The following is a 17,885-nucleotide window of genomic DNA, read 5'->3' as shown; positions in this document are numbered from 1 at the left end:
CACTTTGGAGGTGGGTTGCCATCTGAAGTGTTTTGCACAGGTCTTTCCACAAACATCTTTGGAAGAAAATGAGAGCCAGCACTGAACTTTTATTAATTGAAAATTACTCAGCAGTTTTAATCACTTATCCAAAGATGGAGGCTTTTGGGGGGTACCTGTGACAAAACCAATGAAATCCAAAGCACTGTCAGAAATGGAAGATCCTCGGGGGTCAATTCCTTCATTTCACAGATGGGAACACTGATGTCTTCTTGCACCGAGTCTTACTCAGGTCACACATGCAGGAGTTGGGAGATTTGGGGCTGTAGGAGAAATGTTATAACATCATCCCACCTGGCTTTATCCATTAACATCTGCTCATCTCTGCCCTCAGGGAGTCGTGGAGCTGGTTGAACAATACCAGACAGTACGTGGAGAGCCTTGCATTGTGTTCACCACCTCGCTCATTTTTATTCAAAATGATTCCAGAAAATCAATGTGACCATCTGGCCTCGGAGAAACTTCACTGAGGTCCCAAATGTCTTCAGTGCCCAGATGAATCCTTATAACTCTATTGAAAATACATTTAAAAAGCAGTTATTGATCATGTATTGTGATCCTGGTCCCAAGCCTCACACTGTCGTCTCCTTCCTTCAAGGAGTTAACAGTTTTATGAAGGGAAACAGCCATGAAAATGAACAGTCGCAGCTGAAGCAGGTAAATCAACAGTAGAAATCCACACAAAGATCTCGGCGCGGTGGCTCATGCCTGTAATCCCAGCACTTTGGGAGGCCGAGGCGGGTGAATCACAAGGTCAAGAGTTCAAGACCAGGCTGACCAACATGGTAAAACCCCGCCTCTACTAAAAATACAAAAATTTGCTCGGCGTGGTAGTGCACACCTATAATCCCAGCTACTCAGGAAGCTGAGGCTTGAGAATTGCTTGAACCCAGGAGGTGGAGGTTGCAGTGAGCCAAGATCGTGCCACTGCACTCCAGGTTGGGCGACAGAGTGAGACTCCGTCTCAAAAAAAGAAATCCCTACAAAGCCTGCAAGTTCACCAAGTCACTTCCACTTTACTCTCTTCATCAAAGGTAGTAAGCAGAACTGCATTTCCATTTGCTGTAATAAAACATAGAACAGCCCCAACTCATTAGTTATAAAGTGTGATATTCTGGGTTATTGTTTATCGAATTTGGCACTGGGTACATCAAAGGACACTGGTCAGTGTGCCCTCAGGAAAATAACAATTAACCTAAGTAAAGCAGGCAAGAGTCGATGCTAAAGTAGTTATTCAACCATGTGGAAAACACTGCGTACATAATCATGTACTGGGAAAAGTCATGCAATGAAAGTTAACATCTTTTTTTTTAAAGGCCTCCAAGAAAAGATGGGGGCTCTGGTTGGAAAGATGTGGCAGATGTCAGCTACCAGATGGCAAGAAGGAGGCAGTTCCGGACACAGGCTCGAAACAGAGAAGTTAGTGTGGGAAAGTGAGAGCAAACTGACCCCACCATGCAGAGAGAGTGGGCAAGGCGTGAGTAAAGACAAGGAACAAGAGAAAGAATGAGAGGAAATGCTGTTTGGTGGGTGGAATTTGTGTTTTGCCTCTAGAAGTGTTGTTCTGAAGAGGGCAGAAGATAACCACGTTGGCTGAAACAAAACAGTCTTTGCCCATCAGGGGACCAGTCACTCTTCATCAGTTCTTAACATCTCTCCTCTGGTGGCAAATGCCATCTAGAAGCTCCATGTCTTCACAGAACAGAAAGTCCTAGAGATCTTGATAACTCAGCCACTCATCAGAAAGCTCTTGAATGCTTTCTCAGAGTGCTGTTCTTGGAATGAAAGCAACAACTTTCGTGCCCTGAGTAAGATCAAACAACTTCTCATAACTCCATCATAGATTATCTGTGCTGCACATATGCTGTAGATACTTAACATGAATTAATACATTAGACAGCATACAGTGATGCTTAACAGACACTGCAGAGATGGCTGCTTTCTATCCACCTCCCTACACGTGTCCGTTAGCAATATAAAGCTAGGGGCCAGGGACCAGGTCATATAGATTGTTTGGGAACGTTAATTTATTAATAAGATAGAGATTACCATAAATGGAATCTTGAGAACAGCGCTGAGATAGAAAAAGATCTAGAACCTACTTTATGGATACCTATGACATAGGAGGGATAGGACGAAGCTGGTGCTAACACCAGAGCAGAGATAGTCACATTAGGTCAAGCAATCGCCCACAGCAGCAGTGTCAAGCAAGAGTCTGCTGAGCCTTAGGCATTACCCAAAGGCATCCGCATGTTCCAGGAACGGGAGAAATGGGATGGTGGAAGTTCTTCGGGCTCTGAATCCCCACTTCTGCTTTGACCAGAAGAACTATGGTTTTATCCATTTCACATAGTGGGTTTCCACAGGTGATTTCAAGTAATGAGAGAGTTCCAAATGTTTGAAAAGCGTGTGTACCGACACTTGTTTTTCATATTGCTTTACCACCCAAATCTGAATCCTTTATATTCTGGCTGTATAATCTAGAGCCGATTCATTGCCTGGGTCAGGCAGTCAAGGCCTCTCATGGTCTGGCTTAAACTTTTCCCAGCCTTTTTTCTATAGCTTCTTGCCATGCTCCTTACTTACCAGCCAGGCTGAACTAACAACTCACACCATGCAATGACCCATGATGTGCCCCTTGTTTAAAATAAACTTTCTCCTCCTTTTTGCCACAGTGCGAGGCATGCTTCCAGACTCAGCTCAAAGGTGGCTTTCCCTAAACTCCCAGAGAGAGGTCCTCTGCTTTGATAACACTCGGCACCTTTTCTTAAAATAGTACTTATTCAGTTGTAACCACGTGTTGGGCATGTCCGTTTCTTCCATTAGACTGTGAGCCCTTTGCAGCCAGGAACTGTGTTTTATACGTTGCTGTTTTGCTGAAGACTAGGAGTTGCCTGGCCCCTTCTAAGTTTAGAGTAAACTTTAAACTTTCCCATTAAAACGACAGTGACCAGTAGTGCCCACCAGATGGCAGTGTGTGGACATTTTTGCTTACCAATCAGGAGGGAGCAGAAAGGTTTTATAGCAACTTGCCTTTCATCTTTGTCCTTGCAGACAAACAAATCCTACAAACACCAAGACTTTTGACTGGGCAGAATTCACATCTGTGAATCAGAACCTTAGGCAGCCTTGTATTCCCTATATGCTGCTACTTTTTGAAAACACTCCTCTCGAAGATTGAGAAAGGATTATGCTGTTTGTGTTCCAAGACAGAGAAACTTAGGTTTGAATTTTATCTTCACAAGTGCAAGGTGACCATCTTTTCAGCACTTGGGAAGAACGACCACCCACATCCACTGACTGCTGGCGTCTGCTGAAGTTCCTTAACCTCCTGCCCACCCCCATCTGCCAGACTCAAGCAACAAGCAAAAGTCAGCCACGCATTCCATGCTTGCTTTTAAAATCACTATCTCCCCTGGGTTCCACTGGACAGCACTGTGCTTTTCAGGCCGGAGACCTACAGGTCACTTTTCCCTCTCTTCCAGGATAGAACTTAGAGGTACGCCCTAGCCTCCTTACCTGTGGGCCTGGGATGGTCTCTGGAACTTCTTAGAAGCAAAGGGGCTTCCAAATGGAAGACATCCTAGTCGAAAGGAAAAACAAAAAGAAACATCCCAGTGGGTCTCCCAGACGATACAAAACATTCAAAGGCAAGAAGAGTCTCAATTTCCACTTCTTTTCTGCCTCCGACATGGCTATTTTGTAATTTCCTCTGCTCTCTAACCAAGTGTTGCGTCTGCTGGTGTAGTAGTGCTACAGGTAGAGAGCAGGGAGGGGTGGCTGCCATATCCACCTGCATCCACAATGCTCCAGGTCCTCTAAACTCATCCTACCCCTATGGATTTTCTCTTTCTCCACTGCTAGAGCAGAGGTTATATTAGAATGTGAGGCCGAAAGATTCTGGAGAGCTCAGCTTCTTTTAACTAAGCAAGTCTCTTTTAATTCACAGGGAATCTCAAGGGTCTACCCTGGAGATGGGATCACTGGATAACTCTTCCCTCCTCTTCCTTCTGTAGATAGTGTAGTGGTTAAGACTCAGGCTCTGGAGTCAAACAGACCGGGGTTCAAATCCCAGCTGTGTCACTCCCTGAATCTATGACCTTGGATGAGTTACTTAGCCTCTCCAAATCTTAAATTCTTTATCAATAAATGGAGAAAATACATGTGGACCCCAGAGGGGACGCTGTGCAGATTAAATGATAAGGCAGGAAAAGTGTTTAGTGCAGTACCTGTGTCCATATACTAAATAATAGCATTAGCATTTGCAGAAGTACTGTGGAAAAGGCACAACTCTCTAGAAATGATTCTTGGTGTTACATTCAGCCCAGCTTTGGAAACCTCTAAGAACCAAACACCTCTTCCTAAATCATGCCAAAACTCATCTTTTAAATGAGATGCATATTGCTTTCATTTAATTACTTTTTTATTTATTAGCATTTATTTAGTATGTAAACTGTGGATAGCTCAGGGTAAGCAGTGAAGATACAAGAATATATAAAACATGGTCTCTGCCCTCAAGGAACTTGTAGTGTGTTGAGGAGATGCATCCACAGCAATTATAATATGGGGGATCAGTGCTCTAACATGGGTATGTACAAGATACAACAGACAGAGTGGGAAGGCGTCTTGAGTCCCTGACACTCTGTACAGGGCATTGCAGGTCCTTGCCTTCCTGGAAAAGTCTACTCCCAACAACATTTGTTTTTTTGAGAATCCATTATGATGTCTCATACGTCTAACCTTGACACTGGCTACTCTCTTTAAATGGAATATCTGCCTGGAAAATTCCTAGTAATTGTCTAAGTCTTCCTCAGATCCCTCAGAGAGACTTACGGGCGCCTTCTCTTCCTAACTGTGACCTAACTGAAGGTGGAGGTCACATCTTTATCCTTTGGCCACCAGCATTTAACTCACTGCCCAACATGAAACTGATCTTTAGTCACGGCAATGCATAAACAAAGCTTTAATACATTCATCATGCAACCAACACTGCCTGGTTTTTCAGTACAGGGAAAACCAGCTGATGTGATGAAGGGTCTCCTGTTCCACAAGCCACACAGATCAATGATAGTAAAGCTCTGACTATTACAGAAAAAGGTTTTAATATTATCCAGATTGTCTCCCTTTTTAACTACTACCAATTTTAGCCTGGCTTTCTCTTAGAAAAATGCAAATAAAGATATGCATATTCTCTTCAATATGGCAGCCATTCATATATATGAAGATATCAGACACATATAATATCAATATAAGATTCTCCTTTGTGATTTCTCAAGCACACACAGATAATTAAGTCATCATTAACGTACTTTCTGAAGTGTCTGACATGTGTTAATCACTTCTTAGCAGCTTGAGTGTCATAAATATGGTCCTGATACCTCCAATATCATCTCCACGCATATCTTTTAAGTTCAGATTTGCTTCATTGTTTTCAGTCCTGTGTTCTAGAAGTTCTAGATCATTTTAGATATTAATTTGCTGTTATTATTAATGTTATTGCTATTAATTTATTGAAAATGTGTGCCAAGCATGATACTAGCTGTTGACACACTTCTTTTTCAATTCTCATCTGATCTGAATCACAAACAACCCTATTGCTACCTTATAGGTGATGGAACTGAACTCTTAGAAACAGTAAGTCTCTGTTCAATGTTACTTCACTGTCAAGGGGTCAGAGACAAGCTGCAAGGTTAGGCCATTCTCTCTCCAATGCCAGAACTCTTTCTCCTTACTATATTACGCCATCTCTTTGTGTTAGTCTATGGTATTTGATTTTTGTTTTAGTTTGGCATGTTTTTTTTTTTTTTAGATGGAGTCTCCCTCTGTTGCCAGGCTGGAGTGCACTGGCACGATCTCAGCTCACTGCAACCTCCACCTCCTGGGTTCAAATGATTCTCCTGCCTCAGCCTCCTGAGTAGCTGGGATTACAGGCGCCTGCCACCACGCCCAGTTAATTTTTGTATTTTTAGTAGAGACGCGGTTTCACCATGTTGGCCAGGATGGTCTCAATCTCTTGACCTCATGATCTGCCCACCTCATCCTCCCAAAGTGCTGGGATTACAGGCTTGAGCCACCGCACCCGGCCGGTGTCATTTTTATACTTGGGTATTCCCTCTTCCAGATAATCTTTCAAGTAATTAACAAAAAATATTGAACAGAATAAAAGGCTTCTAGTCCTCACCAAAAACCTCCTTCTAGCTTACATGGAACAGTTAGCAAGGCTCAAGCGTCATTTTTATTCACCTGCCCGTGAAACCAGTGTGTAAGACATGACCCTGCCTATATTTCACCTGCTTATGTGCAATCACGTCACAAGAGGTCGTGTTAAGTCCACTGCTAAAACTTCCTCATCCTGCTGATTTACCAGTTGTGTGGCGTAATAAGAAAAGGAAATGGGGTGTGTCTAACACAACCTGTTTATGGTAAACTCCTATTAACTTCTAGTGATCAGTGTCTTTTCTTCAAAATACCCATGAATCAGTTGTGTAATGATCTGTTCCAAAATTTCAGCAAAAACCAGTAGGAAACTCATACTATTTCCTGGCTTCACTGTTTAGTCCTGTGATAAGATGCAAGTAATCCCCTTTATTAAAAGAGAAAATCCTGTGAATCTACCAAAATATTAGCTGTTTCCAGGGCTATTGAGAAACTCCCACACCTACACCCCCAGTTATATTTTAATGCTCAGTTTGACAGCAGAACCACCTGCCTCTTTGTTTCGAAATGTGAAGTCACATCACTATTTTATGTACTGTTTCCTCTTCATTGCCTATATGTCACCTGGAGGAGTATTTGGCTAAATATTCCTAAACCCACAATTAAAGGTTAAAAATACCTTGAAATTGCAGGAACAAATGGTTGCCTATAAGTTATGTGGATCTCTGAAGTCCACTTATAGGAAACAAAGCTTTCTTGCCACAACCATATTGAATCCAGGAGGATGTAGGTGATGTCTGCTTGTTCATCATTGTACTCCCAGTGTCAAGAGCATAGCAAGGGCTCAAGAAGTATTTGTTATAGTGAGCAAGGAGAAGACAATAATGAGAATATGTATACTCTTAACAGAGATAACTCAAAGTTTTAAAATCGTAGTAAAACATGTATGACTGACATGAGAATGTTTCCAGAAAGCAGATCTGGTCATTAGACTGTGGGAAGAGTTCCTGAAGATCCTAAAGTAGGAAGCTACACAGAGAGGAAATGGAAGAGGAAAGCAAAGTGTCTGGGGGAGTTTCACCGGAAATGATTGAATAAGTCACGCTATTGGAGAGAGAGGCCCAAGCTTCAAGCCCCCAGTCTTCCACCATTAGCTGTTTCCTACTGGAAAAGCCTGCATCTTAACAGGGTCCCATTTTCCAGTAGATTTGACAGAGACCAGAATCCAAATCTCACAGGAGTGCTGTGGGAATCAATTGTGGTAAAACATATGAAAACATGTTATGAAATCAGTGTCACCTACACCTAAGTCTGGGTTGGGGTCAGCCTGAGTAAAAGACCAAGGGATTACAAAGAGGTGTCTAGGATGAATTAAGAGGTTACTTCCTAATGTGGGTTCTCAGGCTACCTGGAAAAGATTCTGACTCAAGAAAAATGTTGGCCCCCTCCAGGTTGAGGAGACCATACTCACACAGTATTGGAGCAGCTTTTGTATGACAGAGCCATACAAATATGCATCCAGCTTCCAGCTCTCTAGTCAGCTGCAATTTAGAACATCCTACTCTGAGTTTGTCACTTTTCTCAGACAACCATCTTCTCCTCCTAACTTCCTTATTTATCATCGACAGGCAGTATCTCAAGCCACTTGGGCCTGAAACTTGTGTCCTCATTGTCAACCTTGAAGCATATAGATGTCATTCGGAGAAATCCTTTGACTGCTCTCAGCCCAGACTTCCTCATCTGGAGAATGGAGATATTACCAGCGGCTCCTACTTTGTTTCAGTGTTTTGTGGGAATCATCTGATGGATGTAAAACCTTTTGGAAAATGTAAAATCCTATATAAAAAAAAGATGATCCTAAAAATTGCAATATTATAGGATTAAACCAGAACAACAACCTTCATCTAGGTTATACATGAAAATCGAGTTTAAAAATCTCTTATTTAGTAATACCAAAAGATACTGGTTCAAAGAATCATGACTATCACTTGTATAATCTTTCTACTTGTTCTCTAGCTAAATGCCTTAAATCTATGGAGTTCTAATACTGAAAGAATTAAGAAAATCATTGCCACATTAAAGGTGAAAGTTTTTAAAAATATATTAATGAGGTGGTGGGAAGTAGGCTGACATTAAAGTAGGTTTGGAAGTGTTTGCTTTCTCTAATTAAATAGAGCTAATGAGTTTCTCCACTGAGCCTGAGCACTGGGCTAAACAGTCTCACAAGCCTCTGGTTTCTGTGATCTCAGTAAGAGATGGCCAACTGGCAGCCGAAAATAATCTGCATCATGGGGTGATTCATCCTTCACACCTTTGGGTGAAACCTTCCTGTCAGAATGCAGGAACAGGTTGCAAGCACCATGCAGGGTTGAGTTAGAGTCTCTTTGGTCTTCAGAAGCTGCTGACCCCTCACTCATATCAAGAGACTGTAGCACAAGGTCACTACAACAAGAATCAGAGAATGGCAAAATGAAAGCTTCCACAGATCACAAATCAGAGCTGGGAACAAAGTGACAAGGAGGAGATAGAATTTAACTGAACCACCCATCGTTGAAAATGGGGGCAGGGGGTAGGATCTAGAGATACAGAAGGCATGCCTCTACCCTCTCCTTACTCACAAGCATGGGATATGGGTTTTAAAAAAAGAAAATGAAGACAATCTAGCATATCTTCAGTGCTTTTGTGGGGTCTGCAGGTATAATCAATCCCTTGGTGTAGTTTATAAAGCCATTTATGACCTGGCCCAGCTTTCCTCTCCATTTCTGCACATTCCCTGAACATCTCACCACCACCTCGCATCACCACGAAGATGGAAGGAGCTTCTCCCAGACCTGGACGCGTCCTCTGTACGTGCTGCCCGTCCTGCCCGAAATGACCTGTCTTTCCTCTGCACATTCTAAGTCTTCCTTAGTGGAGCCACCTGCTCAGCAAAGACATTCCTGACCACCCCCTTTCTGTCACCCTGTTTCCCCCAGTTCCTCAGACTCCTTAAACTTGGTCCCTCTTTCAGGTCTTTGAACAGGTGCTTGTCTCCATCTTTGTCATCCTTATTGCAATTTATCTCTCAGGTCTCCACTTAAATACCACTTGGAGGAGAAATCCTTCATATCCCATTGACTTCTCCAGTCAGGGCCCCATCTAATTTTCTACTAGAATCCTGTTCTCTTCCTTCATTACACTTGTCACAGCTTTTTAAAGTAATCAATCAATAAAAAATATAGTGTATGAACTTGATTTAAGACTACACACACAAATACTTGAGACTGTAACGTTGGTAAATTTCAAGGACTATGTTTTGCTCTTCATTGTAGATCCAGTAATACTGGGTGCTCAATAAAATATTTGATGAACAAATTCTCTTCTCAAAGTGCTCAGAGCAGTTTGTACAGTCTTTAAATATAACACTTATTCCATAGTAATGTAATTATTTTCCTTCATATCTATCCCCATCCCTGGATTTTGAGCTACTCAAGACTAGGTGAGATGGCCCCACAGCATCCTGCACTTGGCATATCTTAATTGGCTTTAACCTGTCTTCCGGCTTCTTGGTGGCAAGAGCAGCTTGTTAGAAACATGCCTGGTGCCTAACACAGTGTCTGGCACACAAATAGGTTTTAAACAAATGAATGAATGAATGAATGAATGAATGGCTAGAATGTCTTCCCCTCCATTTTCCCCTGACCTCCCAAAGTGCCCTTTAAATGTTGGAGGATATTGCATCCTATCTCTTCGGTGAGATACAGTGCACCGTCTGTGTGTGTTTCTTACTTAAAGCACATTCCATACAACTTACAGAACTTTAGATTTACAGAAGAGATGTATAAGGATGGAAATTACTTCCTTGAAAAAAGGATTTTTTCTGCAACATGATACAGAGACCTGTAGGCATGCAGCTCTTTTTCCTGCATTGAATTTAAAGTATGATTTGCTGAAAACTGCTATTTGTTAATTCTTCAAGGAGAGTCTATTTTATAAAGCTTGATGTACTTGTGTGCAAATAGGTCCACTTTTGAGCTGTGTTAAAGTAATCAGGCAAATCCTTACTCATCACCAGGTAGGACCTGGTTTGCAGGCTGGTGATACAGCAGCTGCAAACACGGCACTCAGCTTGGGCTGCAGAAATCAAGATTGGCGCGGACATACCCAGGCAAGTTCGAGAGGAGGTGTCTGCCTAGGAAGGGGATGCAAAACTGCATAATTCAAAGGAGAAATGAAAGGTACCAAATGAAACTGCAGAATACTTACAGAGTGCATGATTACCCTCTTGAAATACCTGAAGGACTGCCACCGAATTAGGCTTTTCTATATGACCCAAAGGAAAGGCTCAAGGTGCAGGTAAGATTTGTGTTTAATATAAGAAAAAACCATTTAACAGAATTGTACGGAAAAGAACGGGCTGCCTTAGAAGAGACTGGCCTTCTGGACACCAGCGGGGTGCAAGACAAGAGAAGGAGAATAATAGTGGTAACATTGTAGGAGGTATTTAAGCATCAGATTTGGGAATAGGGTTGGTGAGGAAGAGGTAATTAATACTAAGTAATAGCAATGATTTGTTGACATAAGTCCCGTGTGTAGGGATTTAATCCCCTATAATGCTGTAAGTTGTGAGGGTACACTTCGTCCACTCCATTTTACAGATGAAGTAACTGAGGCACACAAAGCTTCGGAATGTGCCCAAAGTCACCAAGCTAGGGAGGGCTGGGGTCAGGATTCAAGCTTAAGTCCATCCACTTCAGGAGCCTACGCTTTTAGCCACAAAGACTGCTTATGTCCTGTCCAACTCTAATTTTCTGGGCCTTAAATATTGAGATACCAAGAGAAAACCTATAAAGGAGTCTCAAGTGTATCTGGTGAAGCTGAGTCCTTCACCTTCTTTCCTTTGTCCTCCAGCATGATTCCTATGCTTACGACTACAGAGCATCAAGCCAGTTTTCAAGTTTATTGTGTGTCTCTGTGTGTGTGTGCATAGATCTGACAGGGCTAGTTCATTTCAAGTAACCAAGTATGTCTTTGGACAGCTCTTGTCAAGATCCAATAGAAGAGCCAATTCCAAAAATATGTTCCTTTAGTGGTTTTTTAGGGTTCTCTGCTCTGCACGGATTGACAATGTGGTAACAAGAGACATTCTGGAGACTGGATTTAATGCAACCATATGCTAGACAGAATGAGAACCCATATTGCAGCAGACCAGCCGGTACATTTCCATGTTAACAGAAGCTTGATTGCAAATTACATTTAGTCTCAACAGCTCAGTTCACTGCACACAGATGCCATGGGGGACTGTAAAGTTAGCGAGATGTGGGGGAGTACGACTAACATTTTTTTTTGAAAAAAAAAAAAAAATCCTTCAGCTGATAGAATGCCAAGGAGCATCAGCGCTGATGCTGAAAAGAAAACGCTGCTATATTTGTTTTGCCAGAAAAGGAAAAATAATCATTGTCGCGAGTTGTTAGTCAAATTATGAATACGAGCTCGGCTGGTAATTGTCTGATAATACAAACAGTGATATTAGGGTTGTCAGATGCGGCACGCACTGTTTGACAGCTAACATGTACGTGCTCTCTGGATGAGGAGCTGGTTCACTGATTCCAGAAGTCAGGCAAACAGAGGGCTGGGTGATGGAGGAGAGCTTCCCTAGGATCCTGGCCCCCAGTCCAGGGCTGGATCCGGGTCAGCTCCCCAAAGTGTGGTCAGTATCTCCGCTACACAGAGGAGGGTCTGTGAAACTGCAAAGAGCACAGTGTGGGTTTCAGTGGCAGATGCATCTCTTACTTACTGTGCAACCCTTGGCAACTTATTTAACATCTCTGAGCATACATTTTTCCACTTCTAAAACAGGGATAATTTTCAACCAGGTCCTCCTCCTTTGTGAGGATCAGCTGAGAACCTTGTGTGTGAGCATACAGTAAACCACATGGTGCTTTCTAAATGTTGGGGCTGTAAGTTGTCTACTTGGCTGGGTTTCTTTTGCTCCCATTTTAAGAGCTGAGCTACAGTGATTTTTTGTCCATTTTCTCATGGCTGGAGCAGATTTTTTTTCTGTCTGAGTACAAACACCTTTCAGATAGAATCATTCATCTTCTTTTCCCCAAGGAGTGTGGCCACAGGGCACCTTTCACCTAGAGCCCTCCCTGACCCCTTTATTACATGCTTGTCCCCTAGGGAAGCTAGAACACTTTCATCAAGTTCTATCTTATATGCATAAAGCCCTCATGCTCTCCATCCTCCTGTTCTCCAGACACAAAGCTGTGATAGACACCGATCTGCTTAACAATGTGTTCTCCCCTTAGCCTCTAATTCCCTGGACCCCTTGCAGTTGAGTGTGGCTGGGTGGCTAAGTTCTAGCCAAAGGCATACATATGGACAGGAGTGATGTACACAACTTCCAGACATCACCTTTAAACTTCCTATGCGTGCCTGATCCTCATTCTCTTTCTCCAACCTCCAGCTGAGTGGCAAAGACCTGAGGAACTAAGGGGAGGAGAAAACCAGAAGATGGAAGGAACCTGGGTCTCTGAATGACTGCCTGGAGCATAACTCCCTTGCCAACCTGTATTGTGCTGGGAAGTGGGTGAGAAATGAAAGTCTGCTCTCTTAATCCGCTGGTATTTGTTGGTTGGTTGTTAATGTAGCTAGCCCTGCCATAAAACCCAAGCAATCATTGACTTTATCTCATTACACAAAATGTGTTGTTACCAGAAAAACAACCAGTGTCTCCTCAAATACTCCCTGAAAACACCATGCTCTTTCACACCTCCAAGCCTTTGCTTACATGACATTTTTTCCCTTGTCTCTTCTCTCCTGAACTCCAATTACACTTTTGTATTGAGTAAACTCCTACTTGCAGGACCCAGCTCTAACACACCCACCCAGAAGTATTGTCACTTCCTCCCCTGGGCTTTCACAAAACTTGTACATGCCCATTATTATGTGATAATGGAACTATGGTTTACACATATGTGTCCCTCCTCTTGAGGCAGGCACTATGTCTTATTCAAGGCTTTAATGGACGTCTAAGGCAGCTCTCTTTTTTCCTTTCTATTTTTGTCTATTATCTATGGAATTAGGTACCCTAAGGCTACATCTTCCAGCTTAAAAATAGAGAGGCACAGAGACAAATGGAATTGTCCATTTGATTCACCTTTAGAAGATCTCATCATAGCGCAGGAAAAGGAAGATCACATTTTTCTTTCTACCCATCCACCAACCAAGGCCTATACTGGCTACATACAGAGACACGAGAAGGGGGAAGGATGCTCACGTGAGAGAAGCAGGCATAAAGTGTTGTAGACATGCGGAACTTCCCTATCAAAATAGGCCTCCTGCCTCTCTCTCCCGCTCACTGCATTCCCACTTGGCACCCTACTGGGACCCCCAAGAAAGATTATCCTTCTAATGGCCAGAGGCAAAGCTGTAGCCTGCTCACATTTGAGTCCAGCAAAGCCAGTCAATAAGGGCTGTGTGGAATGTAGAGCTCTGTTCACAGCAGGGCCTGGATGCTCACATCAAACACTGCTCTGTACAACTTAAGGACACCCTGCTGCATTCCAGATTTGAGGGAAAAATTCTTTTTTTGTTGTTTTTGTTTTTTTGTTTTGTTCTGTTTTCAAGTGGCTATTGCTGCTGTTACTTGTTTTGGTTTGAGAGCTCACTTCACCCAAACACACACACACACACACACACACACACACACACACACACACACACACACACATTTTGGGGTTTTCAGAAGCTGTTTATTTTGTTGCTTTCTTAATGTTGATACTTTGGGCTTCTTTATTTGCCACTTTGATGTTTTCATTGACATTATTTTCTTTCAGTTAACTCCTGGAAGATACACAGGGATTTCCCAATGATTGCAAAGCAGGCGTGGCAAAATCACAGTCTTGGATTCAGAATGGGAAGCCCAGGTTTGAGTCCTAGCTCTACCACCTTGCTGGGACAAATCATTCCACCTTAGTTTGTCTCTAAAATAAGAAAAATATGAACTCTGTCTTTCCAGACTTTCAAATTCCATAAGGACAGGGGTCATGTCCATTTTTTTAAAAATTGTCTCCATACACCTATCCTAGCACCTGGTATGTTGTAGCCCTCAGTAAAGATCATTGAGTGACTGAATGATGATTGTGGAGACCAAATAAGGTAATAGACATTAAAATGCTCTATAAATCCTGTAGTGGTCTACACAGGGAAGTATAATTATTGCCTAGACTGGGAATGTATGGATTGCCCCCAAACTGAAGAGTCATTTATCTATTTTAGGATACTGGAAGATACTTTGGCAAATATATTTCAAATGTGCATAATAACCTTGATGAGGCCCAGCGCTGTAACGAGAGTGAGAGGCAGGGCAGAGACCTAGCTGTTTTCTTGCCCTTGAATTCTGAAATTTCCGCATTCTTAAAGTAAACTTATCTTTGTTGTCCAGTTAGCAGAGACATTTTTTGTTAATTGAAGCCAGGAGTCTTTAGCAAGCCTAACTATTAACTAGAAGCTGCTTGAGGGTTCACATGTATTCACAGTTCTGAGCACAATATCCCGCAAGAAGAAAGTGCTCAGTAAATGTAAGACATTGATACTCAGCTTCAGGGATGTTCCCTAATAGCTCCTCTCCAGAAACGGCTCTCCTCCCTGAGCAGTCTCCTTCCATAAGCATCTTGAACGGCTTCTCCACCCCCAGAAGTCCCCTTCCATAAGGATCAGTAATTACTACTGATATATTTGTCCCACCTTCCCTTCTGAAACAATGTTCTCATGCCCCAGCATACACCCTCCACCAGGACACAGGGAATCATGGTGGAAGTGAAGAGGCTGAACACTGTACTAGAACTGTAAGCTCATTTATTGCATGAAGTTTATTTAGCATCAACTATAAGTTGGTGAATGTTCAAAGAAGTGAAAGAAGGGAGTCAAATTTCCAGACTTGGTGACAGGTGAGTAACATATAGAGCTTAGAATTGTTGGTAGATAGGCACAAACACACAGCTATAATATAATTTAGATATTATAATAGATTCAAGTACACGGCCCTCTGAGAGCTCAGAGGTTATGCCAATGTACTGGGACTTGAGATCAAAGAAGGCTTCAGAGAGTAGGAGATATTTGAATTGGACTGTGAAATATGCGTAGGATTTCTCCAGATGGCAAGAGTCAGGAAGAAGGGCATTCTAAGCAGAGGAAATAACAAGTTCAGCTACAAAGAGGGGTGGACAGATGTGACAATGACAGGGACTACACTGCATCTGGAAAGGCTAGACTAGCATTTTCCAGAAGATGCTCTGAGGAAAAAAAGATGTTCCATAGCCAATAAGTTGGAGAAATGTATCCTATATTCTTTTTTAGAAATGTAAAATGCAGACTTGCCTATTAAAGGCTCTGAGCAATCATTTGAGCAGCTACACATATAGTCCAGAGAAATATAGCAGGGGGGCATGAAGGGCGACAGGGAAAGTGAATACAATAGAGGATAGATGTAGACAGATTTCAGGGGGAGCATAAGTTGCTAAATGTCGAAGAAGACTGGGTGTAAGAGGACTAGGTTTTAGCTTGTTAAACTAAATAGATAGCAATGCCATCTGAGAAGAAAAGTATTTAGAAAAGGTAACATGGGTTTTGAAACTTGTCATGTTGAATGTGAGCTGACAGTGAGGGAAGCATGTGAAGATGTTGAGACAATTGACAGTACACGTCCAGGATCCACAAGTGATGTTGACGCTCAAGAAGATGCTGGACAACCATTAGAACTGCAATAGAAGAGATCAAGCCCTGGACAGGACATTGGATTGGATGAGGCCATTTTGGCCCAGGGACTGTATGATTTTTAGGGTCAGAGGGACCCATGCTGAAGAGTGTAGATGGCCAAGTCTCTGGCTACTGACTGCATCCAAGTTCATAACCACCTGCATCTGACGACAGAAGTACTGACCGCAAAGAAGAGCTCAACATCTGCACACATCCCACTGTAAGGAAGTAGACTAAAAGACATGCATTTAACCAGTAAAACTTTTCAGGGACCCCGTAAAACCATTATTTTTCTGTTGGGCTGTCCTAACTCAGAAGAAACAATAAAGCCACAGCATATTCAAGATCATAGAAAACTGCGTACATTCCTTGTCATGTACTTTACTGATCAGTACAGCCTGGTAGAGTGGAGAGAGCACTGGGCTAGGAGTCAGGTGGTCAAGGCTCTAGTCATGACTAGATCAGTAAATCACTGTAAGTCCTAGTGAAAATTATTTACCTTTCATGTGGCTCTATTAACATATGAGTAAAATGTATTTAAAATAATTATACCATCCAGATGCAGTGGCTCATGCCTATAATTCCAGCAGTTTGGGAGGCTGAGGAAAGACGATTGCTTGAGGCCAGAAGTTTGAGACCAGCCTGTACCACATTGTGAGACCCCAACTCTACAAAATTTTATAAATTAGTCAGGTGTGGTGGCATGCCTCTATATATAGTCCCACCTACTTGGGGAGGCTGAGGTGGGAGGATCACTTGAGTCAGGGAAGTCAAGGCCGCAGTGAGCTATGATCATGCCACTGTGCTCCATCCTGGGCAACAAAGAGAGGCTCTGTCTCAAAAAAAAAAAAAAAAAAAAAAAAAAAGGATACCCCCACTGCTTATTCCTAGGGCTGTTAGGAGGGTTCAATGAGATTGGTTCATTTTGTGAAAGATAACGTTAGTAATGGATACTACTTGTACTGAACATACAACTTAAACTGCTGAAACTTTGAAGGGCCCTGAATACTGAAGAACATAACATGTTCATTTTGCAGATGAGGAAACCAAGCCCCAGAGATGGCAGGTGATTTACCCACGGTCAGACACACAGCAGGGACAGAGCCACCAGATAAGGTGGAAGCTCTTCCTTCCTGGTGTCACTACTTTCAAAGACCAAGGGCTGGGACCTTGACTGGAAACAAACCATACAATGGAAAGAAACTATGGGTTGAATAGCTAACATGTGTATTCAACATTCCAAGCAGCAATAAAGCCTGCAGTATGAGTAGTCCAGATAACACTATTTGCCTCCACACTTCTATGAAGTGAGCAACTTTCTTTTGTTGTGTCAACTTGAGTTGGCCACAGTCTTCAGAGTCTCACACACCTCCACTCAATGACTTTAACATACACTAATCCATTCTGTGATGGTGAATACTTTTATTTATATTAATATCCTCATAGACTAGGTTAGAAATTCAGATGCATTAACACAACCCTCTCCTGTAGATCTTCTCTTGTCTAGCTCGAGATGGAATGCTGTAAGTGAGGAGCCATGTGTTAGTTTGTTCTCACACTGCTATAAAGATACTGCCTGAGACTGGGTAATTTGTAAAGGAAAAAGGCTTAATTGACTCACAGTTCCACAAGGCTGAAGAGGCCTCAGGGAACTCACAATCATGGCAGAGGAGAAAGCAAGGACCTTCTGCACATGGTGGCAGGAGAGAGAAGTGTAGGCAGGGCTTATAAAACCAACAGGTCTTGTGAGAACTATCACAAGACCAGCATGGGGGAAACCACCCTCATAATCCAGTCACTTCCCTCCCTCAATACGAGGGGATTACAATTCAAGATGGCATTTGAGTAGGGACACACAGCCAAACCATATCAGGCCAAAATTAATTTCTTTCCTGAACTGTGGCAAGAGGCTTCTAACTGATCTTGATCTTGCTCCTTTGCCTTTTCCT

At 42.5% G+C, this 17,885-nt stretch overlaps 1 protein-coding gene across 19 annotated transcripts in view, besides 1 other annotated feature; it reads right to left on the bottom strand.

Annotated features, from left to right (window-relative positions):
* The window catches only part of TPRG1 (tumor protein p63 regulated 1), a 328,078-nt gene that overhangs the window by 174,099 nt on the left and 136,094 nt on the right, over positions 1-17,885 (bottom strand). For 13 of the 19 annotated variants that reach the window (XM_047448032.1, XM_047448034.1, XM_047448030.1 and 10 more), the window contains one exon: positions 3,559-3,622. The exons of 1 other annotated variant lie outside the window; for it this stretch is intronic. The gene's annotated coding sequence lies outside the window, so the exon portion shown is untranslated. Of the gene's footprint in view, positions 1-69; positions 1,102-3,558; positions 3,623-17,885 lie in introns of those variants that run through there. 5 more of the 19 variants (XR_001740120.3, XR_007095667.1, XR_007095668.1 and 2 more) reach the window with 3 other exon arrangements.
* Positions 13,397-13,898: an enhancer, noted in NCBI's record as "NANOG hESC enhancer chr3:188855097-188855598 (GRCh37/hg19 assembly coordinates)". NCBI's record gives its function as "activates a minimal SCP1, AML or CMV promoter by ChIP-STARR-seq in naive H9 embryonic stem cells {active_cell/tissue: H9 hESC(naive)}" and the evidence as "EXISTENCE:reporter gene assay evidence [ECO:0000049][PMID:30033119]".

The sequence above is a fragment of the Homo sapiens genome, chromosome 3 (genome assembly GCF_000001405.40).
Source record: "Homo sapiens chromosome 3, GRCh38.p14 Primary Assembly".
Taxonomy (NCBI): Eukaryota; Metazoa; Chordata; class Mammalia; order Primates; family Hominidae; genus Homo; species Homo sapiens.
The sequence above is the reverse complement of the archived record's forward strand: the minus strand, read 5'-3'. Positions and strand labels throughout refer to the sequence as shown.